Source organism: Homo sapiens, chromosome 3, assembly GCF_000001405.40.
Source record: "Homo sapiens chromosome 3, GRCh38.p14 Primary Assembly".
Taxonomy (NCBI): domain Eukaryota; kingdom Metazoa; phylum Chordata; class Mammalia; order Primates; family Hominidae; genus Homo; species Homo sapiens.
Genome location: NC_000003.12, coordinates 2,545,511 through 2,572,660, shown reverse-complemented (window position 1 = coordinate 2,572,660; position 27,150 = coordinate 2,545,511). Strand labels below are relative to the sequence as shown.

Here is a 27,150-nt window from a genome sequence, read left to right as displayed (position 1 = left end):
TTGCTTCATGTTGTAAAAATGCAAATATATTCAGGTGTCCCTCTTGGACTTGACACTCTGAATAACAAAACAAGTCAACTAGACTAATTTCAAAGGGGCGTGGAATGATACACAGCAGCCCAAGCTGCAAACCAATTCCCGCTGCATGCTGGACTTCTGATGCACCAGCACTTGAATGATGTATGTCAACTGCTAGACTCATATCTTCCAGAAAATGGAGAAAGCAATAGAGAGTATGTGTGAAGTTTTCTTTTCTTTTCTTTTTTTATTTTTTTGAGACCGAGCCTCACTCTGTTGCCCAGGCTGGAGTGCAATGGCGCGATCTCGGCTCACTGCAACCTTCGCCTTCTGGGTTCAAGCAATTCTCCTGCCTCAGCTCCCCGAGTAGCTGGGATTACAGGCATGCACCACTGCACCCGGCTAATTTTGTATTTTTAGTAGAGATGAGCTTTCGCCATGTTACTCAGGCTGGTCTGAACTTCTGACCTCGGGTGATCCACCCACCTCAGCCTCCCAAAGTGCTGGGATTAATGGTGTGAGCCACTGCGCCCAGCCATGTTTGAACTTTCCAAATCCCTTTTCTAGTAGTTGGCCATGAGTATATGGTAAAAACCTCCTGTGTTTTGCTTTCTAGTTCCTACTAAACTGTAGTACATTGAAATGAAAAAGAGAGTCAGTATCAGAAGATGGAGTGGTATCAACAAAGACACTGAAAGAGCTATCCAGATAAACGTCCATCCACTGAAATGAAAGTAGGCAACACTCCAGACTATATTATCAGTTTTATTGCCCAATATCTCTGTGCAACTGGGCACTGGGATGAGCAAAAATAACAACTTTCAAACTAAATAATGGCTCAAACGACTCTAAAAGGACCAGATAGACAGGTGAAACATCGGTGTCTATCTCTGGATACAACACCATGAAAAGAGTCACTAAAAGACCATCAGGAAGGTATATTCAACAGTGTCAGCAAATGCTAGTCATAGCAGCATATACTCTTGCGATTTTATCATTGCCGTCTAAAGTGAAGGCCCACTTTTGAATTAGTGTGAAATACAGTGGCATTTCTAAATCAAAAAGTTTTAAAATGACACTCTACCTGCAAGGCACAAAATGAATGATTGCAGTACCAGCAGTTCCCATGGCAACCTCATCTTCAGTTTCCGAGGTCAAAGGGAGTTTCAAGTCCAATAACAAGCGAATAGAATTGCTGCTTCTTTTAAGTTTTGTATAACCTTTAATCTGTGGGAAAGAAGAGACATTACAATGAGATTTGGGAATATTTCTCCTTGTGGTCTCTGCAAGTTTATCTTTACTCAAATATCAATAAAACTCACTTGTGGGAAAGTACCATTGGAGGGGAAGAAAGGGACATGTTAAATTATGAATATAAAGCTAATAAGACTCCTATTTTTTTCTTGCAGATAATAATTGGGCAGGGATTGGAGCTGAAGTGTCCCTGTGGCTTCTGAGTGAAGACAAGAACAGTTTCTGATTAGGCATGAACCAACCTGAAGGCAGGGGAATGCACTATGCTTTGCAAGGTCTCTCTTTGTCCAGATCCTGTTCTTATTTATTTTCCAATTAGTTAAAAAAAAAGCAAATACAGAACTGCCACAGAACAAGATAGGCTTAACACTGGTGGACCTCAGGTAGAAATTCCCAATTTTTCCAATGGAGTTATATCGTGTGGGAAAATGGTGACTACCCCATTAACTCAAACAATTTTTCCCCTCTGCCCCGTGTTTCACTTCTAACATGCCACAGAAGTATGCAGCTCCAGTGTCTAATGAGAGAAATCCAAACAGCTATCAGTAGCTGCCTACTAGGTTCATTTGGATATATCCAGAACATGATTAGGAACACTAATACTTCTGTTAGCCAAGAATACTGAATTAGGAGAATTCTGCAGTGAAGAGAGGCCACTCATTACCTTTACCAAAAGCTACAAAGTGAGTAACTGAGTGAAGCTGTGGGCAGACACTGTTATTCTGAGGAATGGAGGCATGTCCTTGCTTAAGGGAACAGGTGCCCCTCAGCTCAAGCAGATGGGTAATGTGGAACACAGATCCAGGGTTGCAGGGGCATCTACGACTTTTCAAAGAAAAGTTGAAAATATAACTGTATTTTGAAAATCTCCTAAGTTTTAAGTATTGAAAATTAGTTCAAAATACTTTTTAAGGCCAGGTGCAGTAGTTCACACCTGTAATCCCAGAACTTTGGAAGGCCAAGATGGGAGGATCTCTTGAGGCCAGGAGTTCAAGACCAGCCTGGGCAACATAGCGAGACCCCCACCTTTACGGAAAATTTTTAAAAATCAGCCTGGCATGGTGGTGCACGCCTATAGTCCCTGCTACTCAGGAGGCTAAGACAGGAGGATTGCTTCAACCCAGGAGTTCGAGGCTGCAGTGAGCCATAATCACTCCACTGCATTCCAGCCTGGGCAACAGAGGGAGACCCTGTCTCAGAGAAAAAAAAAAATTAAACACTGTATGACTCAAGTAAAGCCAAATTTCCCTCTGGTGCTGAAGGATTGCAACATGAAGTTAGTAAAACAGAACTCTCAACTGTGGTTCCTCTCATCCACTCATCCCTTCTCCCACCCATCCTGCCAGCCCGCCATGTGTGAATGTATATGTGAAGCATCTTCTGCTTGCCAGACACAAGGTGAAGCACTGGGCCCATCAAGAGGAACAAGGCACAGTCTCTATCCTCTAGAGTCTCTTTATCCAGTAGGGGCTGTTACTGAGAATTTCATATAATTGCAATATGATATCCCGTTATCAAGGAAGGAGGAAACTTTTTGTTTGGCAATCTTCACAAAGGAGGTGAGCTTCCCTTGGGGTCTGAAAGATGAGCAGAGTGCTACCTATTCATCAGTCAATCAAATAAACCAGAAATTTATGGAACCGGGAGATCTCATTCTATTTACAACTCTGGCAGGAACTTGTTATGTGGTCCTAGGTAGACCACTCCACCTAGCCTCTCTTTGAATCTTGTTTCAAGGGAAAACTCCTGGTTAAGTAAATGAAACTTCTTTGAAAACTCTGCAGCACCCTACATTGCCAGATGTTACTGTGGTCTCAACTTGTTATTTTAGCTTTCATGTAAAAAAATATATTACATTTATATTATTTTTAAATTGACAAATAATAATTGTATATATTTATGGTATACAATGTGATATTTTGATATATGTACACACTGTGGGAGCCCCAATATTTTTAAGCTGAAAATAACCTGAAGTTTCTCATCTTACTCCCACTTATAAGAAAAACACTGTGAGCAAACACAGGCTTACATGAAAACATGGGCCAACACAAGCTACTTAATAATGGGCTCTTAGCGTTAATTTACACCATGTGATCACTGCAAAGCCTGTATGTTTACCAGGGAGCTAACAGAAAATGAACAAGCATCATTAGAGAACTCGCCTTTCTTTTGTGCCCTTAAATAGCTTAGTTTCTGATAGAGCTGGACTTAATATATTGTGAAGACAAAAGGGACTCTTAACTTCGGATCTGCTGATGTGGCAGAAAGCTGGCCGTATCTCTAATTGGATATGTTCAGATACTCTTCTGACATGCATGGTGATTAGGCCATTTTAGATCAACAGGACGTGCTGATCAATGAAAACTATTAATGTCTTAAGCAAATGATCAGGGTATTAATAATTAATTTTGTGAGAGAAATGTCATCTCGGACCTCGGGATTGATCTACAATGTTAAGCAGTTTCTGGAAGCAATTAAAATTAGCTTAGGAAATGTATCCAATTACCTGATAAAGATTTAGTTCATGATATGATAGTATTTACAGTGCATGTTCTATTAAGGGCTGTAGATTTTTAAGGATGAAGAATTTCACGAATCCTATTGGCATTTATTTACATTCAGGTAGGTAAGGTTCACCTTTGCTAATCAGAAATAATGGGGTCGTGGACAGTAATTTGTCAGTGGGCAGTGGTAACCAAAGCATCCGGTTTTCTGAAGGGAGCTGAAGATTCATGAATCTCACGTGGGACTCTGGTGCAGGATACGAAGTTTCATAATTTCAATTTTTCTGTCAGAGTCAGAAAGAAAGCTGCAGGATGAGCCAAGAGTTATGGTGGCAATAGATCTCCCCTGCAGCTGTGAGCTCTCTCTGGCTTATCCAACAGTGGCTGTAGCAAAGGTAGTGTACTCAGCACTCATTTTGAGATCCTGCCCAAGAATGAGACTCGTAAATCCTAAGAAGGAAGCTACACAATAAAACAGGCCTCGATTGCTTTCTCTCATTGAGCCAGGAGGAGATGAATAACTGAGAATTGTACAGGGTGGTTTTTTTTTTTTTTTTTTTTTTTCACATTCTTGCACAGAACAAAACTTCCCTCAACCCTTCAAACAATTCTCATACTAACAGTGACACTGAAGACCTCAGTACAAAGTGCTGAAAACAAAAGCATGAATCAGTTTTCCCTTAAGAGTCCTGGTTTCCAAGAATCTACATGCAGGGCCTGGTCATGTATTTATTTGTTTTGAACACTCTGCTGAATTAAAATGTTGCTGGTATCCAAACAGTACTAATTCAGCTCAACAAAAAAAGTAATCGTGTTTACCATGTGGCAGGCACGGTGCTAGGTGCTGGGTGTGCAGAGGTTAGGGAGGTGCGGGTCTTGTCCTCAAGGAGCTCACAGTTTACTTAGCAGGAGGTGCTAATAAACCAGTCATTATAATTCGGTGCAATGTGTGCAGTAAGTTTATTAAGAACAAGATGTTAAGGAAGCAAAAGATTATCACTGAACTGAGCTGGGAGGTAGGGTAGGGCAGGAGTTTCAAGAAAGCTCCTCAAAGGGGCTACCATTTTGAACTGATTCTTAAAGGATAAATAAGAGGGAGGAAGGCCATTCTGAGCCAAGTGACAAGGAAAACAAACTGGCAAGAAGCTGTGAGAACCTTTAAGTTACAGCAGTGCAAGAAAATGAAAAGCGTAGACTGCAGAATCTAACTTGTGCTCTATTCCTAGACTTCCCACTCTCCAGCTGTGTGGTCCATCTATAAAAGAGCAGCAAGATATCTATCTGCCAAACTTATGGTAAGGATTAGTGAGAATGCATGGAAAGCACTGAGCTTAGGTACTGGCACAAAGTTGAAACGTCATAGCTATCTTTGTTAAAGACAGCACAGCGCAGCCTGAGTTTGGGAGTTATAGGCTGAGGGGGAAAGAGGCTGGAAGGTAAATCAAGAGCCTGGTCTCCAATCATCTTTGAACGTATATTAAAGATTCTGGACTTGAGGCCAGGCACGGTGGCTCATGCCTGTAATCCCAGCACTTTGGGAGGCCGAGGTGGGTGGATCACGAAGTCATGAGATCAAGACCATCCTGGCTAACACGGCAAAACCCCATCTCTACTAAAAATAGAAAAAATTAGTTGGGTGTGGTGGCACATGCCTGTAGTCCCAGCTACTAGGGAGGCTGAGGCAGGAGAATGGCTTGAACCCAGGAGGCGGAGGTTGCAGTGAGCCGAGATCGTGCATCACTGCACTCCAGCCTGGACAATGAGCAAGACTCCGTCTGAAAAAAAGAAAAAAAAAAAAAATTCTGGACTTGATTCTGAAGTCTACGAGGAGGGTGAGAATGACTTTCAAGAAGGGAAAGACCTAAAAAGATTTTATTTTCCTGTATGAAGATCTGCTTAAAATGCAATCCCCTGAAGGACATAATATCTATTTTACCTTTTTTGCTTTTCTCCTCTGGTTAGCAAGTTGACTACATCTCTAATTACTAAGAATACTTCCAACAGAGTATGTTTTTCAAAGCCTCATAGCAGCAAGACAGAGTGGGAAAACACGGATTCACGCACACTGAGTTCTTCCTGGATTTACTACAAATTACCTCACTTTGGGAAAGACACTTAATCTCTGTAAACATGTTTGCTTGCTTGTAGGTTAGGGATCATGCCAGAAGCCCTATCTTTCTTACAAGTGTGCTGTGAAGGTCCACTGGCTTGTTTTGTATGTGAGCATTAACTATCATCGTTTATTTAAACTTGGATTCAAATTCTGCCTCCTGGCCCCCACCAAATAGATTTTTAACTTTATGAAGGTAGGAATCTTTGTATTCTTGATTGACATTTTAGAGGCACATAGAATAGTGAACCACCAGAGCAGGCAGCCAATCAACAGCTAGTATGTAAATGAAAGAATAAAGGCAGCTAACATCTCTTGTGGACCTGCCACGTGATCTTACATTCACTTCTCATTTAATCCTTATAACATGGCTGGGAGTCAGGCATCATCATCCTCTATAAAATTAGAGCTTTGGCAATTAGAATATGAGAGGCTATGAAACTCGTCCAAGGTTAAATATCTAGAAATCAATAGAGCCAGTATTTAAATCTATGTCTTCATACTTCAAATACTGAACTAGTTTCTAAAGGTAATGAACTCTTCTAAAAGTATTGTGTCTTTTCAAGTGTGAGATAACATCCTGATGGTGACTCCTTTCTCTCTAACTTGGCTTTTCATGTTGTCCTTCTGCAGAAGTGAAGCCAGGTGCCAGTAAGCCAAGGTGCAGAATCTGTAATACTCATAATGTAAAGGATAGCACAGGTTTCAGAGCTGAGACTTTGTCGGAAGGCTACGTTTCACTAGTGTTAATTCAGAAGTCTTTTGTGATAGCATAACTGTGAATAAGTTTCTTTCCTCCTAAGTGTAAGAACAACATAAACATTTGCTTTCTTGCTAGTTATTATTTAGAGTGCTACCATTCTGAAGGCAGAGATTTTTAAAAAGGATCATCCACAGTTCCCATCTGTAGAGTTGAGAGTTTCCTAACTCTACAATTAGCTAATGAGGGGTGCAGTCAATCACAATGGCGAGGAAGCGGGAAACAGAAATGAAAGCAAGAGATTAAATAGGCTTCCTCAGAAAGCAATATGCCAATAATTTTAAAGGAAAATGGCATACAGTAAAATCTTAATGTTCAATCAGTCAATAGATATTTGTTGAATGTCCATGATTCAATTGGTAAAATGCAAAATATGAAGAGTTTTGGGTCAAGGTCTCCGCCCACAAGGACACTACAGCTCAATTGGATAGGAAAGATTATTGACCATACAAGATATAGTTTATATGTCAAATGAGTAGTTCAGGTCATCTGTATGTCCTGTGATTACAGTAGCTAGCCTATAGGTTCTTCTTGGATAATGAAAATTCCTATCACATCAGTCAATCAAATAACTTGCTGGATTTTCTCCTTTAACCAGCTTTATACTCTATCTACCAGTAAAAACAGATTTTCATTCCTATAGGTGATGTCTTTCAAACTTGACTGGAGATTGCAGTAAGTAGTCTGCTAGGAATGATGAGAAAATATGTGTTAATTGGTTTTTATCATTAGATTATTTGTCCCAAGCATCTGAAAATATGAATAGAACAGTGCAAAAGAGGGGAAGACATAAGGGACCTGGATGATATATTCGGGAAGCTACATCTATTAAACAAGAGGCAGACATGTATAGGATGGAATCCCTTATTTAGACCATACTCACCTACCCAATGGTTGATTTAGACACCGTTTCCATCATAATATCATAATACCACATTAAAGAGGACCTTGAGGAATGATGGAGGGTCAGCTAAGGTACACAGTTGCTCCCCATTTTAAAAGACTTTCCACTTGTGAAGATTCTAACCATAAATATGAGTACATTAGGCAGAAATCCTCTGAAATAAAAGCCAGGTAGCTAATGTATCATCATTTCACTTACTGAAGGATGTCTTCCATAGCCCGAGAGTCCACAGTTATACGGATTAATTTGGAAAAGTCTTTCATTGAAATTTCTTAAAGTATAAACCCACTACGGATTTCTCAAAATATACTTTCCCCTTATAGAAAACCTTATTCTACCTTTGATGTTGGACCTTTATATTTTGCTACCGAGAAGACCCTCTTCAAAAAACGGAAGTAACCTCAATAATCACAGTGATATTTCAAAAGATCACTGGGATAAGATTCAGAATAACTGCGTTCCAGGCTCAGTGCTGTTATTTGCTTGCTGGACAAGTTTCCTCATGAATAGAAGACGGGACTGGGCCAGATTGTTTTTAAGGATTCTTGAAACTTTGAATTACATTATTCTATAAGAAGAAGGTTATATATGCCAAAAATATTTAATTAGTTAAATGAAGTAAAGACTATGTCTTTGTCATCCCTAGAGCCATTTGAGGCTTGTAACAATTTTTCGGATTATATCATCTTCCCATCCATTAAAATTGTTTTAGATATATTGCTTTTAAATTCTATGTATTAAACTGTTACTGAAAATTTAACTCCAAGCCACAAGTCCACATTCACTATCCACAGCCTTCACTAAGTAATCACTTATTGTAATTTTTTAAAGTTTTATTTAACTTTTACTTTTATTAAAGGAATGCTTGAACATAGCTTAAATACTAGCTGTTAGTCCCCATAGGTAAATATTGTCCAGGGGCAACAAACTGCTTTTCTGTTAAGTAGTTCAACAATGATAATTTGAAAAAATAACATGCTTATACTACTATTTCTTGATTTTTTTGTCATATGTACTAAGTTCTTTTATGAATGATGATATTCAACTCTCTTAATCATTCCCAATGACAGACAGGAATACACAAATACAAACATACCTTGCTTCACTGTTGTCTAAACTTAGTTATAGCACATAATTTGGTAATTTGTTAGCTGAGCTTGAGAGTATACTGCTTTTCTTTTTTTTTTTATAGTACTTGTTTTTTCTGAGTTACTGTTATTTCCTCTTTAATAACAGGTTTCTAAGTATATACCACAAATTCATCCTAAACATTCTATCATAGCTAATGCTTTCAATATTTTTAAACACACCTTACAGTCCATCATTTTTAATAAGTATTATTTATTTGGACATATAGATACTTAACACTTCAGCAATTCAGTTGAAAAACAGACATGAATGGTTCTAGTCTTCTAACATTGTTTAGTTAAACACAGAAGAGCCATGTATTCAAAGCTATGATTTTTCTCACAATTATCCATACATATGAAGCTTATGTATTTGTGAGAGTATACAGTACAATGTAGTAAATCAGCAACATAAAAGGGTATGTGATTAAACTGGCAAACAATGTTGGAGATAACGTAATGGTAGAATATAGTACAAAACAACTGGTGAAATGATAAATAATAGATACCATTTAAACAGCATTTACTATATAGTAGTTTCTGTATTATTTGTTAACTCATATAATCTTTAAAAAAACCTTGAAGGTAAACAACAATATGATTTTAATTTTATGGGTTAACTAAGTTGAAATTAATAAGTAATAGATAGAACTTTCTCTGATTTTCCCTGTTTATTGTATATTTTATGCACTGACATGCGTTCTTTTTATGTATAGTTTGATGAGATTTCAAAAACTTATACAGTCATACAACCACCATCACCATCATGATGTAGAATATTTCTATCACTCCCAAAATGAATCCTGAGAATGCTCATAAACCTTTGGTGGGAATGTAAATTAGTTCAGCCACTGTGGAAAGCAGTTTGGAGATTTCTTAAAGAATTTAAAACAGAACTACCATTTGACCCAGAAATTCCATTACTGGGTATATACCCAGAGAAAAATAAATTGGGCTGGGCACAGTGGCTCACACCTATAATCCCAGCACTTTGGGAAGCTGAGGCAGGAGGACTGTTTCAGTCCAGGACTTCGAGACCAGCCAGGGCAACACAGGGGGATACCATCTCTACAAAAAAAAAATTTAAAAGTTAGCCAGCCGTGGTGGCTCCTGCCTTTAGCCCCAGTTACTTGTGAGGCTGAGGTGGGAGGATTGTTTGAGCTCAATATTTGGAGTCTGCAGTGAGCCAAGATCGTGCCACTGCACTCCAGCATGGGTGACAGTGTAAGACCCTGTCTCAAAAACAAGAAAAGGAAAAAAAAGAAAAGAAATAATTAAAAAAAAAAAGACACATGCACTTGTATGTTTGTCACAGCACTATTCATGGTCATAGAATCAACCTACGTGCCCATCGATGGTGGATTAAAGAAAATTTGGTGCATACACACCACGGAATACTATGCAACAATGAAAATGAATGAAATGATGTTCTTTGCAGGAAGATGGATGCAGCTGGAGGCCATTATACTAAACAAATTAATGCAGGAACAGGAAACAAATACTGGGTGATCTCACTTACAAGTGGGAGCTAAATATTGCATATCCAGGGACATAAAGATGGGAACAGTAGACCCTGGGGACTAGTAGAACAAAGAGAGAAGGAGGGGAGGAAGGGCTGAAAACTGCTTATTGGGTACTATGCTCACTGCTTGGGTGATAGGGTCATTTGTCCTCCTAATTTCAGCATCACACAATATACCTATGTAACAAACCCACACAAGTACCCCCTGAATTTAAAATAAAAGTTGAGATTATGAAGTTTGACTTAAGATTGTGGATATTTAAACACTCTGTTGAATTTCTCCCAAATAGGTATATGTAGCCTTATTATTAGAACAGCAGGCAATTGTAGTTTATATATAAAATATGTGGTATTTTCATCTTGCATTTAGATTGCCCCTCAGATACTTCATCCTTCCTTTAGAATGTCATTCCCGTGTTATTACAGTCTTATTACAATAAAATCAAGAACAAAAGTAGATCATAGTTCAAGACAGGAAAATACATGGCACCTCCACTCCTCTGTCCCACTCCTATGGAAAGCAATGCTAATTGATTATGGCACTCTTTGCTGCTTAGCCCAAGGGCAGCCCCAGAATCCTCTCAGCATGGCATTTCAAGTACACATGACAAAATCAATACAGGTTTCAAGTAAAATAAAAATTCCTTTGCTTCCCTATGGCAATGAGATCATTGGCTTTAGAATCACACAAGCCAGGTTTAAATCCCAGCTCTACCATTTAGCTGTTGTTCTTGGGCAAGTCATTTAACCTCTGTTAGCCTCACTTTCCTCTTTCATAAAGTGACAGTGAAAATACAGGGTTGTTGAAAGGAATATGAGAGAAAATCCATATAATTGGATTCTGCTAGAAAAAGTTTGAGTCGGCAAACTTGCTGGAAAAAACAAGAGGGGCAAGCAGTGGAAGGATCTGGTTCTGGGAGACCACAAATACAGGGAGCACACCGTGCCAAAGGGGGAAATCCATGACCCCTTGGATTTCCCACTGAGCACTGGAGGAGAGCGGATGCAAGGGACTTGGGGGAAATTGCAATCCCCAGAAACCCTGCTCTTTCCCATGCTTTCTGGGTACTGGGAAGTAAACTTTGCAAACTCTTAAAGCTTCTATCACCAGAGCAGGAAAGAAGGATTTCTTAGCAATCATCTCACGTTTGTTTTCCTTCTGCTCGCTGGTGTGCTGCAGAGTGCCAATTCTGCTAACCTCCCAAATAAATGACTGTTAATGAAGCATGCTGCACATACAGACAGCAACAGGCATTTTTTAATCACCTAAACTAAAGAAGAGCTAAAGGTAAGCACAAAACACTCTAATACCTAATATATTAGGTGTCAGATTAAAAGTGGCAAGAACCGTGTGACTTTCAGGGCTTTTACTTGGATACACTTAGTGGGGAAGTAAGCTTACTAGTATGTCCATCATTACGCACAGCTTGCTGATTGCTCGGACAGCCACATCAGAAAATCAGATAACTGGTAGCCTAAAAGGGAGTCTATGTCTGCTTAATCAGAAGCAGAAATAAGATTTCAAACATAAAAACTGAAGTTGTAATAGGCTATACCAAAGTAGGGTGTTAAATAAAATCTACTACGGCACTCTATCCTTTACTTACAAATTAGTGACTGAACATCTAGTAACTGACGTGCAGTACGATACAGCAATGAATAAGACAGGGTCTTCCCTCATGGAGATTATTTTACTCTACTGGGGGAAGATAATATAATACTCTAAGAGGGCTGCAACAGTGCACAAATGCAACAGTATCAGTCAAGAACATAAATGGTCTTTGTAGATAGACTTAAGTTCAAGTCTTGGACTTGTATTGTTTTAGGCAAGTTATTTCTGATCCTCCAGTTTTGTGTCCATAAAACGGAGATACTGAGCCTACTTCAGAAGTTTGTAGAGAAGTATATGAGATAACACAAGTAAAATGGTTACCACCATAATGCAAAAGGAACATAATATAAGTGTTGTTTTACTTAGAAGGAAGTCAGAAGTCATTCTCTTAAAATAAGTGGAGTGGGCCAGGCATGGTGGCTCACATTTGTAATCCCCAAATTTTGGGAAGCCAAGGCAGGCAGATTACTTGAGCCCAGAAATTCGAGACCAGCCTGAGCAACATGGTGAAACCCCATATCTACTAAAAATACAAAAAGTTAGCTGGGTGTGATGGTGCACTCCTGTAGTCCCAGCTACTCAGGAGGCTGAGGTGGGAGAATCACCTGAGCCTGGGAAATCGAGGCTGCAGTGAGCCATGATTGCACCACTGCACTGTAGCCTGGGTGATGGGAGTGAAACCCTGTCTTAAAAAAAAAAAAGAAAAAGAAAAAGAATAATAATAATAACAATATAAGTGGAGGTTGGGACAGGAAATCCCCCTACTTTTTAGCTAAACTATAATATGGGATCTCCCATCTCATGTAATGGTAAATAAACTGTGTATTCAAGATCCTGTGCCATTATGTATTTATAGCTAACTATTAGAACATTCATCTGAAAATATTCGTTGAACACATGCAATATGTCAGACACTGTACCAGCAAGCACTGGGTATCACGGTAAAGTTCAGTCCTGCTATCATGGAGCTTGCATTCTTCTTCATTTTCTAGGTTTATTTGCCTATGAACACATACTCTCAAAGAGCAGAAGTACACCTCAGTATCATCATGCTTTAGTTCATGACTACATGCAGATGGTGGGATATTTCCACCCCATTTGACAAATGCTATTGAATTCTTATTTGGTATAAAATCATTTTCCAGAAGCCTTCTGCAAATTAAACCACACTATTTATGAGAGCCTCACCTCCATTTTCTTGTCTTTTGCACCCAAATCTGGGTCTCAGGTATGAAAGATGATAAAGTGATAAAAATGACAACCTTTTTCTTTTTTTCTTGAGTACTTACTATGGGTCAGTTACAATACAAAGGTTTTGGACAGATTACCAAATGCTTACAATAACTTGAGGAGGCAGGTATATGATTATTTCCATTTGTCAAAGAGGAAAGCGGGGCTTGGAGGATTATGTGAGTCCCTTATTTCTTTAGTATACCTTTCCCTACCTACTTCCCTCTAGACCTGTAAGTGGCCAATTTCCTCCCAGTGTATTGTGTCAGGGCTGATAGTACTGACATTCAAAAATAAAAATAGAGTAGAAAGCCAGTAAATCACTTTGCGAAGTTTGCCATTCTCTGCAATGGTGGGGTACTTCATTATCAGATACAAACTAATATGACAGAATTACAGCACATGGATCCAGAATCCTTAGTATGTCAAGGGACTTTTTTCCCTCTTATATGAACAGCAGAAACCCTGAATGTGACAGTTTTTAAAAAGTTATTTATTGTCCTTATCAATGGGTGGTTATCCATCTAGTTAGTGTAATAGCCTGTTAGGTAGCAAGTGATAAATATGTTCTTTGTTTAATCAGGCTGACTTAGGCCAAATCGGGCAAACACTAACTGGTTCTCAGAGAACCAGATTTCAGGCCTGGCCTGTCACATATATAACAGATGTCTCTGTAGTTCTGGGTGTGAAATGAGTACATGCTGCCAATCTACTTTTAACCATTCTATTTATGTTCTTCTTTAAAATGAGATAGAGTGATCATTTGCAGTTATACAGTGAGTTTTATCCAAGAATCTCCAAAGGACAGCACATTAATTCTTACTACACTGGTTGAGATGAGGGTTAGGGTTGCAGTATAATAATTTTTAGGCAGGGAAACTGAGGCATAAAAGAGTATAGTGAGTATATCATATTTAGGAAATTAAGAATTTATGTGTCTTTGTCTAAAGCTAATGTGGGAAAACACTAATATCATGCTGGGAAAACTCAGTAGACTCCATATTAACCAAATAGTCAAAATTAGTATCACTAGTGATAAGACATACTGGCCTCGTGTGCCCTTTGATAGGGTGCACTGAGAGGGACATAATACTCTTCTATGGTATTTTGCCAACAATGCATGACATCAATAAAAAAAAAGGAGGGAACATCAGAAAATTGAGTAATATTCTACAACAAGATTGACTAGTAGTTTTCAAAAGTGTCAGGATCACAAAAGGCAGGCGAAGGCTCAGGAACTGGCACAGACTCAAGAAGAGTAAGAAGAAATGAATGCTATAAACAATGCAAGATTGTGGATTGCAGCCTGGACATTATGGAAAAACTGGTAAACCCCTAATAAGGTCTGTTGTTTAGTTAACAGTGTTATACCAATGTCAGTTTTCTGGTTTGGTGATCATACTATACTTACGTACAATATTAACATTAGTAGAATCAGAGTGATGGGCGTATGGAAACGCTGACATTTTTGCAACTTTTCTGCAAGTATGTATTTTAAAATAAAGCCAATGGTGCATAAATAATTTTCTAGCTTGAAAATCAGAGTTTTTAATATCTTTTTGTTTTTACATCAGTGGAGCTATCCTCCTTGAAAGATATGTACATACAGTATACCATTGCAGATTTTATATTTATAGTTTGCTGCATCATTTCCAGAAAAAGTTCAAGGATCATAAAAGTTTGCCTACAGAAGACCAGCTAGTCATAGGAAAAATTATGTGAAAAAATAAATTCTGAATTCCCAAGATGCAATCAATATAGTCAATGTTGTTACTTTGTTATGATTTAATTAAAATTAGACTGCTGAACGGTCAAACGTAGGTATGAAAAGAACCAAGATTACCATGCATTTTTTTTTTTTTTTTTGAGACAGAATCTTGCTCTGTTGCCCAGGCTGGAGTGCAGTGTTGCCCAGGCTGGAGTGCAGTGGTGGAATCTCAGCTCACTGCAAGCTCCGCCTCCCAGGTTCACGCCATTCTCCTGCCTCAGCTTCCTGAGTAGCTGGAACTACAGGCGCCCGCCACCACGCCCAGCTAATTTGTTTTGTATTTTTAGTAGAGATGGGGTTTCACCGTGTTAGCCAGGATGGTCTCGATCTCCTGACCTCGTGATCTGCCCGCCTCGGCCTCCCAAAGTGCTGGGATTACAGGCGTGAGCCACCATGCCTGGCCTACCATGCATATTAATGAAGAAAAAAATAAAGCCAGAATTTTGTACTTCTTGTATGCTAAAAATGCAGCATGCAGGTTTCCCCTAAATTTCTTATTTACTACTAGCGTAAGCTCCTTGCAATGCGATGTGAGATCTATGTAAAGAAAGATAAAAGTGGGAATAACTGTTAACACTGCATTTTTGCTTTGTTTGTGTCTTTTTCTGACATCAAATTTCCTCCTTGGATTAGCAGTCTAGGCCTATTGTTGGTAGGAGAAACTGTAGTAATTTTAGTTATCTGTGGAAACTAAGAAATAGTTGAATCATCTGCAAAAAAAATCTGAGGATAGAATCCTAATTAGTGATAACATGAATTTTGAGACTGACGCTATTTCAGAGATCTGGCAAAGGACAAAGAAAATCATAAATAGTTTAAGTTGCTTTAGGAAAATTCAATTTCATGATTTGTTTAAGATCCATGCCTACATACAGTTTTTCTTTTCTTGCCTACCAGCCCCTCTTTTACTACATCTTAGCTGCAAATTTCAAGACAGCATTTTCAAGTTTAGAAAAAACTTTGTTCCATTTCTTTTCAACATCTGACTCTCCACCAACAACCATAGCAGCCACTAACTAAACTACACACACCCTTAAGTTTGGACCTTAGAACTTGTGTTTCTAAGCAATGTTGAGTAGACATTCCTCATATGGTTAGAATACAGGAAAAATACAGAAATCACACTTCCAAATAATATATGTATTATATACATATACACACACATATATAAAATGTGATTTTTATATGTTTGTGTGTGTATGTGTGTTTGTAGGTACACATATATAAAATTTATATATGCACACATATATAAAACTTACCAGGGCCGAGCTGTTAACAGTATAATTTGTTGTGTGGAAGAAAATGGTTTATAAAAACCCTACTTGTTTATAAAAAAACCTACTGCACATCCTTTTAAGTGCTTCAGTGTGTCAGACTGGATAAGGTGTGCATGTTTCATATGTAGTAAACACAACACTATGCTGCATCCTGATTGAGGATAACTTCGTGAAATAACTCATGCGTTTGTAAGTAAACCACAGAGGTTCACAAGGACAGGCAGGGTGTGTAATTAAACGTTTGTATATTCATATGCCGACCAGTTCTGCTGTCTTAAAACAGACGTTAAGGTGAGGCTCTTCTTGGTTAATTGCTGTTGTCAAGGAAAATGCCCAGGTTTGCCTCCACATTTCCTTCAGGTATAAAACTCAGGCTAGCCTCTTGGTGCCAATTTTTGTTTTGCTATAAATACATAATAAAGCCTCCTTTCAAGTTTTTAAAAAAAGTCTAAAATTATTCCCTTTTTATGATATTTCCAGTAACCCCCAAATGGAAAGACAGTTTAATGTTTACACTAGCAAACAGATGGTTTCAGGGAAAAAAACATTACGTAGCTCTTGGTTTCTTGTCATAAGGTAGGAGTCTTGACAGCACCTTATCTGTCTAAGGGATGAACCTGGGGTAATAGGTTACCCATGGCAGATTCCCTGGGAAAGCTTCATAACAGCTTCAGAAATTCTCACTTCTGAGCAGTGTGCCCCTCCAGGCCATTCTCCACGTTCCAGCCACAGCTATATTACCATAGTACAACTCTGATCAAGCCTCCAACTTTCCACCTACCTTACATACTTTCACAAAGTCAGTAAAAACCTGCTTAATCCAACTCTCACCCATCTCTGCAGCATAAATCTATATTAGAGTTGTACTATGCACTGCCTTGATACATCAGAGAATCTTGTCTCCTTACCTTTGTACCTGCTGTTCCCCTCTCTCTTCCCTTCTGTGATTAGCTTCAAATTTGTAGCTTAGATGAACTCCAGGCTAAAAGCTTTCTCTGATTTCATAATAACAGTTTAGTACTTCTCATATGTGCTTTGACAGCATTCAGGATTTCTCTTATTAGAGAAGTTATCACATAATATTCTAACCTTTGTCTTTATGCCTTTGCTACTATCCATGCCCTAAAGGGAGAGACACGGTCTCTCTCATTCATTAATCGGTGTGCTTGGAAAATATCGTACATGGTAAATATATGTTGAACTGATTTAAACTACAATGGATTTAATTACCGAGGAAAAAGCAGAATAAGGCCAACGGCTCAAATTGTCAGCAGGAGCTAATGTGTTAGAACCTAAGAAGGGACTAATCAGGAAATTATCCAGAACCACTTAAGAAGGTTAGTATTTTTCCTGGTTACCTTTGTGGATAAGTGACTCACGAAGTTGACTCGGATTTAAAAAGATATTTCAATAAAGATATGCATATGACAATCTATATAGATATCCAAATGATCAGTTTGGAAACTTGTTTCTGAATCACAGATACTCAAATTATCTATGACAAAAAGAATTTCAAGGTCACATGTGTTCTGGGGAACTGAGTTAGCCAACAGAGACAGATCACTTTATTGTAAGATGTCTTATAGCCTTTAATAAGATGACATTGAATTTCAGTGTGTAAGAAGAAAGGCATTCTGTGCAGCATTTCCTAGATTTACTTTTTCATCCATGAAAATCCCATGGGACAAACGTTCTTCAGAACTCATTTTGGGACCTCATTTGGGGCCCCTGTCATGTTTAGCAACGACTAGGAAACTATGAGCTTTGGCCAAATTCCTTACAAATTATGGCCTAAATGCCAAATCCCAGACCCAAAGGCCGAAAGTCTAACATCTATTTTTGTAAGTAATATTGGAACACATCAATGCTTGCTCATTTTGGCATTGCCTATGACTGCTTTTGTGATACTATAGCAGAGGCAAGTAGTGTGACAAAAATCATATCGCCTATAAAATAAAAAATATATATATTTACTACCTACCCACTTACAAGAAAAGTTTGCTGATCCTCAATTTTCAGTAATTTTTTTTTCTGTTCTCAAGCTTTAATTTAAAAGTCTTCTCTGGGTATAACAAAATCAGCTGGCCTCACTACTGATGTGTTACTCAAAATCATTGTACAAATGCAGGATGAAATGACCCACAAACTGGAGAAAGTATCACTGAGCTGACCAGTGGTACTTTGTAAAGTGAAATGTGGACTAAGCAAAGTATGTTTGGGTTTTTTTTTGCTCTAAATCCTGTTTAGAAATTAATATATGTTATAAAACTAGCCAGTTAAAACTTACAAATATAAACACATTTACCAAAAGGAAGTCTGAAACTAATACCTTAAAATACCTATTTGGATAGATAACTTATTAAAACACTAAACATGCCAGAAATTTTAGCAAAGACAACTGAATTTTTATTCGCTCACTTGAATACATACTGGTATCCTAAAATACCTAAGGTACTTCATTATAAAGATTAATTTTGGCCAGACAGGAGTAAAGCTGAACAAGGTTTGTGATGTAGATTAATTTAAATGAGATATCAATTCATATACAGTACACCGATTATTGAGATAACTTTTTTATTCCAGTTTGGTAGTTACAGAAAACACATAGCTTTAACTCCTGGTAAAAATGAGCATTTTGTGTTTCTTTAGTTGTTAATTCATACAGTTAAACTAACTCGTCTACTGGTTTGGTTCAAGACATATTCAACATCATTTTCTAAGTGGCTAGAACCAACCTGTTTGATCATTAGTTTAATAGAAAAGAGTGAAATGAAAAGAAATAATTCAGTTAATAGTAACTTTTCATGATATATCAGCAGAAATAAATATTTCTTCTCTTTCCATAATTCAGCAAAGTTAGTTTGAAACCCAGTGTTCATATCCTTTTCTCTTCCTCATCCTTTTCAGCTTCCATCTCCCCCAAAAATACTGGAAGATATTACTGCTGGTTTCTAGCTCTGGTCCTTTTCTTCCTGTGTGTTAGTAACCATCATATTTGACATTTGATCCCTTAGGACACACTGTTAAATGCCTTTAGGTTCCTTTTTGAAGCCAAAGTTGATATTGGAGTTTTGATACTTATTTCAAGGCAGTCCTTTGACTAGAGTTTTAAATAACTTTGGTTTCCATATTCTTGTTCTTGAGATGAAAGGCCCAAATGCATCTTACATATTAATTTAAATGAATTCCACTATATGTGCTGTGAAAAAGGATAAAAACAAGCACATCAAAACATACCTATAGAGACAGAACGCTGTAGATAGCACATGCCCCGGAATGAGTGCTAGTTGGAACATACAAACCCAGTCCACCATTCTCATGGGAGGTTTCAGTTCTTGTGTCTCTGAAATAATGTGAGTATCTCCCCAGGCTGAGGATGATTCTTCTCTTTAAAGATATAACAGTTTTTTCAAAACATGGTTCCTAAACTCAAGCCAATTACTTTGTGTGGTGTTTAATCAATAACCTGGTGATCTACCCCAAACCTGGAAGAAAAATTTGCTGTATGGAATCACCGTGAGTTGATACACTGGTCTCCAACTAGACACCGTCGTTTTCCAGGTAAGACGTGTACTTGCCAAGGAGGTCAAATGGTCCTCAAGTACACACAGTGAGTGAGTGACAGAGACTAACAGAAACTCTAGTCTCCGGGTGCCTACTCAACACACTTCGCCATGCCGTAGCACGTCACCTTCCTCATAGACCATCTGCAGTCAAATTTCACTGACTCTTCTGAACACATCTCCCAATTTCCCTGACATCCAACCATGTTCCATCAAATTGGTTTTTCCATTCAGCAGCTTGCTGCAATATTATACTGCCTGCATAGCTTTGTTTTGACAGTTTTCTCCACCCCATACCTGCCTTTTAAAATAAAGTCTCCTCTCTTTGATACCCAGCTCACCTTCCAAAGAGATAACTTTTCTAGATGTCCACAGATCAAAGTTACCACTTCTCTGAATAATAAATCACCTTTTCTGTGCCTTTCCAGTGCTACTTGTCAAATGCCAATTTATAATTGCATATTAATTCCTTAATTAGCATGCAAGCTCTCTGAGGTTAGGTAGAGTCCACATGTTTTTAAATTTTGCTTCCCCCACAACATGATGAGCATTTGTCTTGTACTCTGTAGGTACCAAACCTATATTCCCTAATTTACAAGGGCAGACAAATGTTTCTGGTGGTATCTGTATTTTCCAGAATTTATTCTTTTACCTTTTCTTTAAAAGTCAAAAGAAGTGAAGTTGTTGTTCTGTGAGCTCTCTGGAATTTTCCCTAATCTACAGCATTCCTAAAACGCTTTTCTGTCGGTTTCTACTGAAACACCTGAATGTTCTTGTTTTTTGTTTTGTTATGTTTGTAAAAGTATCATGTGTTTCAACAGTAACAGACTGCAGCCTAGATCTATGAACCCATTTAAGTGAGGCTTGGTGCTCCTTTACTCTGGCCTCACTTATCTTAAGATTTAGTTTACCTTAAGTATGCTCTATGCCTCACTTTATATATTGAGAAAATTATTTTCCTTAACAGAGTGGATAGTGAAGACAAATAGTTTTGTTTTCATGAAAAGAAAGAAAAGGTATCTTGTTTTAAGTAACGGTCAGGTAGCAAGACATTCTGAATATCCATTTTATCCCATTTTATTTCCTCTCTGATACTTCACTGTTTCTCTAAGATGACAGCAATATTTAGGCTGTAAATGAAAGATTCTATTAATAACTAAAGAAAAAAACCTTTAAAAAGCCATTGCAATCGAGGAATTCCTGTTAAATACACAATCCATTATGCATAATTCTCTAACAGAAACTGAGATGAGAGAAAAGTTATAAAAGCATTGATGATAAACATGTTTCTGTACATCACCATTAGGGAAGGTATTTTTTTTACTTTTCTGCATTACTTAAAATCTTCACATGCCTAACAAACTGATTTTGCATGGGATTCCCTCTGCTATTATTATTTTCAAAAATCATTAGGGCTTTTTCTTTTTTTCAAAAATCCTTTCATGATCATTACAAAGTATTAAGGTGATGAAAATCATTCCATTCACTCCCATCCTAACATAATTTAGGTGTTCATATAAATTTGTGCATCTTTGGCCATCACAAACGGTCTTGATCCATTATCATGTGGATAAACGTAAGAAAATCTTGTGTGTATTTGTGTGTGCATGTGTAGGCCTACATACACTCAAGTACACACATGATATACAAACATATACAGCCACTTTTCTTCTCCTGACATTCATATAACATTTTAGATTTTGAGCTGACATTCTTCTCTATTCAAAATATTGCATTAGACCTCAAAAAAACCATACCATTTCTCAATCAGTAATGTTTTCCATTAAGTGATACCTTTCTCTGGTTCTGAAGGAATTAATGCAAACCTGTACAACATGCTCCACAGACCTCTAAAATGAAAGGGAGCTGACAGATTCTGCTTGCTTTACGCCTGGCATTTTTTTTTTATTATATTTTAAGTTCTGGGATACATGTGCAGAACGTGCAGGTTTGTTACATAGGTATACACGTGCCATGATGGTTTGCTGCACTCATCAACCTGTCATCTACATTAGGTATTTCTCCTAATGCTATCCCTCCACTAGCTTCCCCACTCCCCCGACAGGCCCCGGTGTATGATGTTCCCCTCCCTGTGTCCATGGGTTCTCATTGTTCAACTCCCACTTATGAGAGATAACATGTGGTGTTTGGTTTTCTGTTCTTGTGTTAGTTGGCTGAGAATGATGGTTTCCAGCTTCATCCATGTCCCTGCAAAGGACATACGCTCATCCTTTTTTATGGCTACGTAGTATTCCATGGTATATATGTGCCACATTTTCTTTATCCAGTCTATCAATGATAGACATTTGGGTTGGTTCCAAGTCTTTGCTATTGTGAATAGTGCTGCAATAAGCATACATGTGGATGTGTCTTTATAGTAGAATGGTTTATAATCCTTTGGGTATATACCCAGTAATGGGGTTGCTGGGTCAAATGGTATTTCTAGTTCTAGATCCTTGAGGAATCGCCACACTGTCTTCCACAATGGTTGAACTAGTTTGCACTCCCACCAACAGTGTAAAAGCATTCCTATTTCTCTGCATCCTCTCCAGCATCTGCTGTTTCCTGACTTTTTAATGATCACCATTCTAACTGGTGTGAGATGGTATCTCACTGTGGTTTTGATTTGCATTTCTCTAATGACCAGTGATGATGAGATTTTTTTCATATGTTTGTTGGCCGCATAAATGTCTCCTTTTGAGAAGTGTCTGTTCACCTAATATCAAAATTAAAAGAACTAGAGAAGCAAGAGCAAACAAATTCAAAAGCTAGCAGAAGACAAGGTATACCTAAGATCAGAGCAGAACTGAAAAAGATAGATACATGAAAAACCCTTCAAAAAATCAATGACTCCAGGAACTGGTTTTTTGAAAAGATTGACAAAATAGATAAACTACTAGCCAGACTAATAAGAAGAAAAGAGAGAAGAATCAAATAGGCACAATAAAAAATGACCAAGGGGATGTAAACACTGACACCGCAGAAATATAAACTACCATTAGAGAATAGTATAAACACCTCTACGCAAATAAACTGGAAAATCTAGAAGAAATGGATGAATTGCTGGATACATACACCCTCCCAAGACTAAACCAGGAAGAAGTTGAATCCCTGAGTAGACCAATAACAAGTTCTGAAATTGAAGCAGTAATTAATAGCCTACCAACCAAAAGAAGCCCAGGACCAGATGGATTCACAGCTGAATTCTACCAGAGGTACAAAGAGGAGCTAGTACCATTCTTTCTGAAACTATTCCAAACAACAGAAAAAGAAGGACTCCTCCCTAACTCATTTTATGAGGCCTGCATCATCCTGATACCAAAACCTGGCAGAGACAAACACAAAAAAGAAAATTTCAGGCCAATATCCCTGCTGAACACCGATGTGAAAATCCTCAATAAAATACTGGCAAAAGGAATTCAGCAGTACATCAAAAAGCTTATCCACCATGATCAAGTCGGCTTCATCCTTGGGATGCAAGGTTGGTTCAACATATGCTAATCAATCAATGTAATCCACCACTTAAACAGAAGCAAAGACAAAAACCACCTGATTATCTCAATAGATGCAGAAAAGTTCTCGATAAAATTCAACACCTCTTCATGCTAAAAACTCTCAATAAAGTAGGTATTGATGGAACATATCTCAAAATAATAAGAGCTATTTATGACAAACCCACAGGCAATACCATACTGAATGGGCAAAAGCTGGAAGCATTCCCTTTGAAAACCAGCACAAGACAAGGATGCCTCTCTTACCACTCCTATTCAACATGGTATTGGAAGTTCTGGCCAGGGCAATCAGGCAAGAGAAAGAAATAAAGAGTATTCAAATAGGAAGACAGGAAGTCAAATTGTCTCTGTTTGCAGATGACATGATTGTATATTTAGAAAACCCGACATGATTGTATATTTAGAAACCCCAACGTCTCAGCTCCAAATCTCCTTAAGCTGATCAGCAACTTCAGCAAAGTCACAGGATACAAAATCGATGTGCAAAATCACAAGCATTCCTAAACACCAAAAATAGACAAACAGAGAGCCAAATCATGAGTTAACTCCCATTCACAATGGCTACGAAGAGAATAAAATACCTAGGAATACACCTTACAAGGGATGCAAAGGACCTCTTCAAGGAGAACTACAAACCGCTGCTCAAAGAAATAAGAGACGACGCAAACAAAAGGAAAAACATTCCATGCTCATGGATAGGAAGAATCAATATCATGAAAATGGCCATACTGCCCAAAGTAATTTATAGACTCAATGCTATCCCCATCAAGCTACCATTGACTTTCTTCACAAAATTAGAAAAAACTACTTCAAATTTCATATGGAACCAAAAAAAGAGCCCATATAACCAAGACAATCCTAAGCAAAATGAACAAAGCTGGAGGTATCATGCTACCTGACTTCAAAGTATACTACAAGTCTACAGTAAACAAAACAGCATGGTACTGGTAACAAAAAGGATATATAGACCAATGGAATGGAACAGAGGCCTCAGAAATAATACCACACATCTACAACCATGTGATCTTTGAAGAACCTGACAAAAACAACCAATGGGGAAAGGATTCCCTATTTAATAAATGGTATTGGGAAAACTGGCTAGCCATATGCAGAAAACTGAAACTGGACCCTTTCCTTATACCTTATACAAAAATTAACTTGAGATAAATTAAAGACTTAAATGTAAGACCTAAAACCATAAAAACCCTAGAAGAAAACCTAGGCAATACCATTGAGGAGATAGGCATGGGCAAACACTTCATGACTAAAACACCAAAAGCAATGGCAACAAAAGCCAAAATAGACAAATGGGATCTAATTACAGTAAAGAGCTTCCGCACAGCAATGAAACTATCATCAAGGTGAACAGGCAACCTACAGAATGGGAGAAAATTTTTTGCAATCTATCCATCTGACAAAGGGCTAATAATCTATCTGAGAAAGGGATAATATCCAGAATCTACCAGGAACTTAAACAAATTTACAAGAATAAAACAAACAACCTCATCAAAAAGTGGGCAAAGGATATGAACAGAACAGATACACCTAGTCTGTTCACAGTCATTTTGTTTTCCTTTTTGCCTTCTTCAGTTAGCTTTAATACGCATGTCTCTGTGAAAACAAGAAATAATTTCCTGGGGATCTGTGGATTTTGGACAGTATCATGAGAAACATGAGGGTTATTAAGTTCTCTTTGGACTTAAAGATAAATGAAAATTCACTTTGTTTCATGGTTCTCTAGATGTAAAACTTCTAAAGGAGGTTCACAATTTTTGGTTTCATTCTGGTGAATGAAGCTACCTTCCCTAGGCATTTGACTATTAAGTGTTTTTCCAGTTGAGCCTCTCTGGAATCCCAGTTCCCAACTTTCTAAATGTTTACTGAATATTTCTTCTTGAATCATTCCATTAAATTCATTAAAAATTATCTCATGGCCAGGCATGATGGCTCACGCCTGCAATTCCAGTATTTGGAAGGCCGAGGTAGGCAGATCACCTGAGGTCAGGAGTTTGAGACCAGACTGGCCAACATGGCGAAACCCCATCTTTACTAAAAATACAAAAATTAGCTGGGCATGGTGGTGAGCACTTATAATCCCAGCTACTAGAGGGAGGCTGTGGCCAAAGAATCGCTTGAATGCAGGGGACAGAGGTTGCAGTGTGCAGAGATCGTGCCATTGCACTCCAGCCTGAGAGACAAGAATGAGATCCCATCTCAAAATAAATAAATAAATAAATAAATAAATAAATAAATAAATAAATAAATATCATACAAAACCCTGATCTCTTCTCTGTAAACCAGGTCTGTCAAAAGACACTCGTATTAGTAGATCTATACCATGTTCTTCCAGCTACCCAGTCTTGAAGACCTGGAGTTTTTGCTAATTTCTCCCAATGTTTAGCTTTCTCATTCCCTTTATTTTTATCACCTACATCGAATCTGTGGCTAAGCTTTTCCACTGGCATGTCTTAAATTTGTCTTAGATGTTCTGGTGCAGATTAATCAATATTACGTGGGATCTCTCAAGTACTCAATAAAAGTTAACTACTATCATCATCATACCTAATGATTTTACATTTTCCTGCTTTTACTTTTGTGCATGCTAGAACATCCGCTCGGAATGAAATTGGTGTAAATCTTACCAATCCTTCAGGATACTGCTCATATTCATTTTCTTCCATTTATCTTAAAGGCCAGGATAGCCCATGGCCATTTCTTCTTCTTCTACTCTGCTGAAGTATTTATTATTCCTGCTACCAATTTAATCAATATCTGTACTTAATTGAACTGATATTTGTCTCTTACATTGGGACTTTGTTCATATTTTGTTTTTTTTAAATTTTCATTTTTGGTTCAGGAGTACATGTGCAGGTTAACAAACATGTTACATAGGTAAACTGTGTGTCATGGAGGTTTGGTGTACAGATTATTTCATCATGCATATAATAAGAAAGTACCAAATATTTTTTCTGATTTTCCACCTCGTCACACTCGCCACCCTCAAGGAGGCCCCAGTGCCTATTCTTCCCCTCTTTGTGTCCATGTGTTCACTTATAAGTAACAATATGCAGTACTCAGTTTTCTGTTCCTGCAATTAGTTTGATTAGGATGATGGCCTCCAGCTCCATCCATGTTGCTGCAAAGGACATTATCTTGTTCTTTTTTTTTTTTTGGCTGCATAGTATTCTATTGTATATATGTACCAAACTTTCTTTATCCAGTCTACTGTTGATAGGCATTTAGGTTGATTCTACATCTTTGCTATTGTGAATAGTGCTGCAGTGAATGTGTATTTAGGGCAGAATGATTTATATTCATTTGGGTATATAACCTGTAATGGGACTGCTGAGTCAAATGCTAATTCTGTTTTAAGTTCTTTGACAAATCACCACATTGCTTTCCATAATGGCTGAACTACTTTACATTCCCACCAGCAGTGTATAAGCATTCCCTTTTTTCCTGCAACCTTGCTAGCATCTGTTATTTTTTGACTTTTTCATAATAGCTATTTTGAGTGGTGTGAGATGGTATCTCATTGTGGTTTTGATTTGCATTAATCTAATGATTAGTGATGTTGAGCATTTTTTCATAAGGTTGTTAGCTGCATACTGTATGTCTTCTTTTGAAAAGTGTCTGTTCATGTCCTTGGAATTAAAAGGCACAGAGTGGCAAGGTGGATAACAAAGCAAGACCCAATGATATGCTGTCTTCAAGAGAGGCCTACCTCACATGCGATAACACTCACAGGCTCAAGATAAAGGAATGGAAGAATATCTACCAAGCAAATGGAAAACAGAAAAAAAAGGAGAAGTTGCTATCGTGATTTCAGACAAAACAGACTTTATACCAGCAAAGATGAAAAGGATAAAAAAAAAAAAAGGCATTACATAACAGTAAAGGGTTCAATTCAATAAGTGAAGCTAACTACCCTAAATATATATGCAACCAAGACAAGGGCAGCTAGATTCATAAAGCAAGTTCTCAGA

General features: G+C 37.9%; 1 protein-coding gene across 36 annotated transcripts in view; it reads right to left on the bottom strand.

The window, feature by feature from the left end:
* CNTN4 (contactin 4) overlaps positions 1 to 27,150 on the bottom strand; it is a 959,094-nt gene that overhangs the window by 485,299 nt on the left and 446,645 nt on the right. For all 36 annotated transcript variants that reach the window (XM_017005783.2, NM_001350095.2, XM_047447536.1 and 33 more), the window contains one exon: positions 1,103 to 1,245. In XM_017005783.2, the coding sequence (XP_016861272.1) occupies positions 1,103 to 1,157 (55 nt within the window). In that variant the 5' untranslated portion in view covers positions 1,158 to 1,245. The remainder of the gene's footprint in view (positions 1 to 1,102; positions 1,246 to 27,150) is intronic.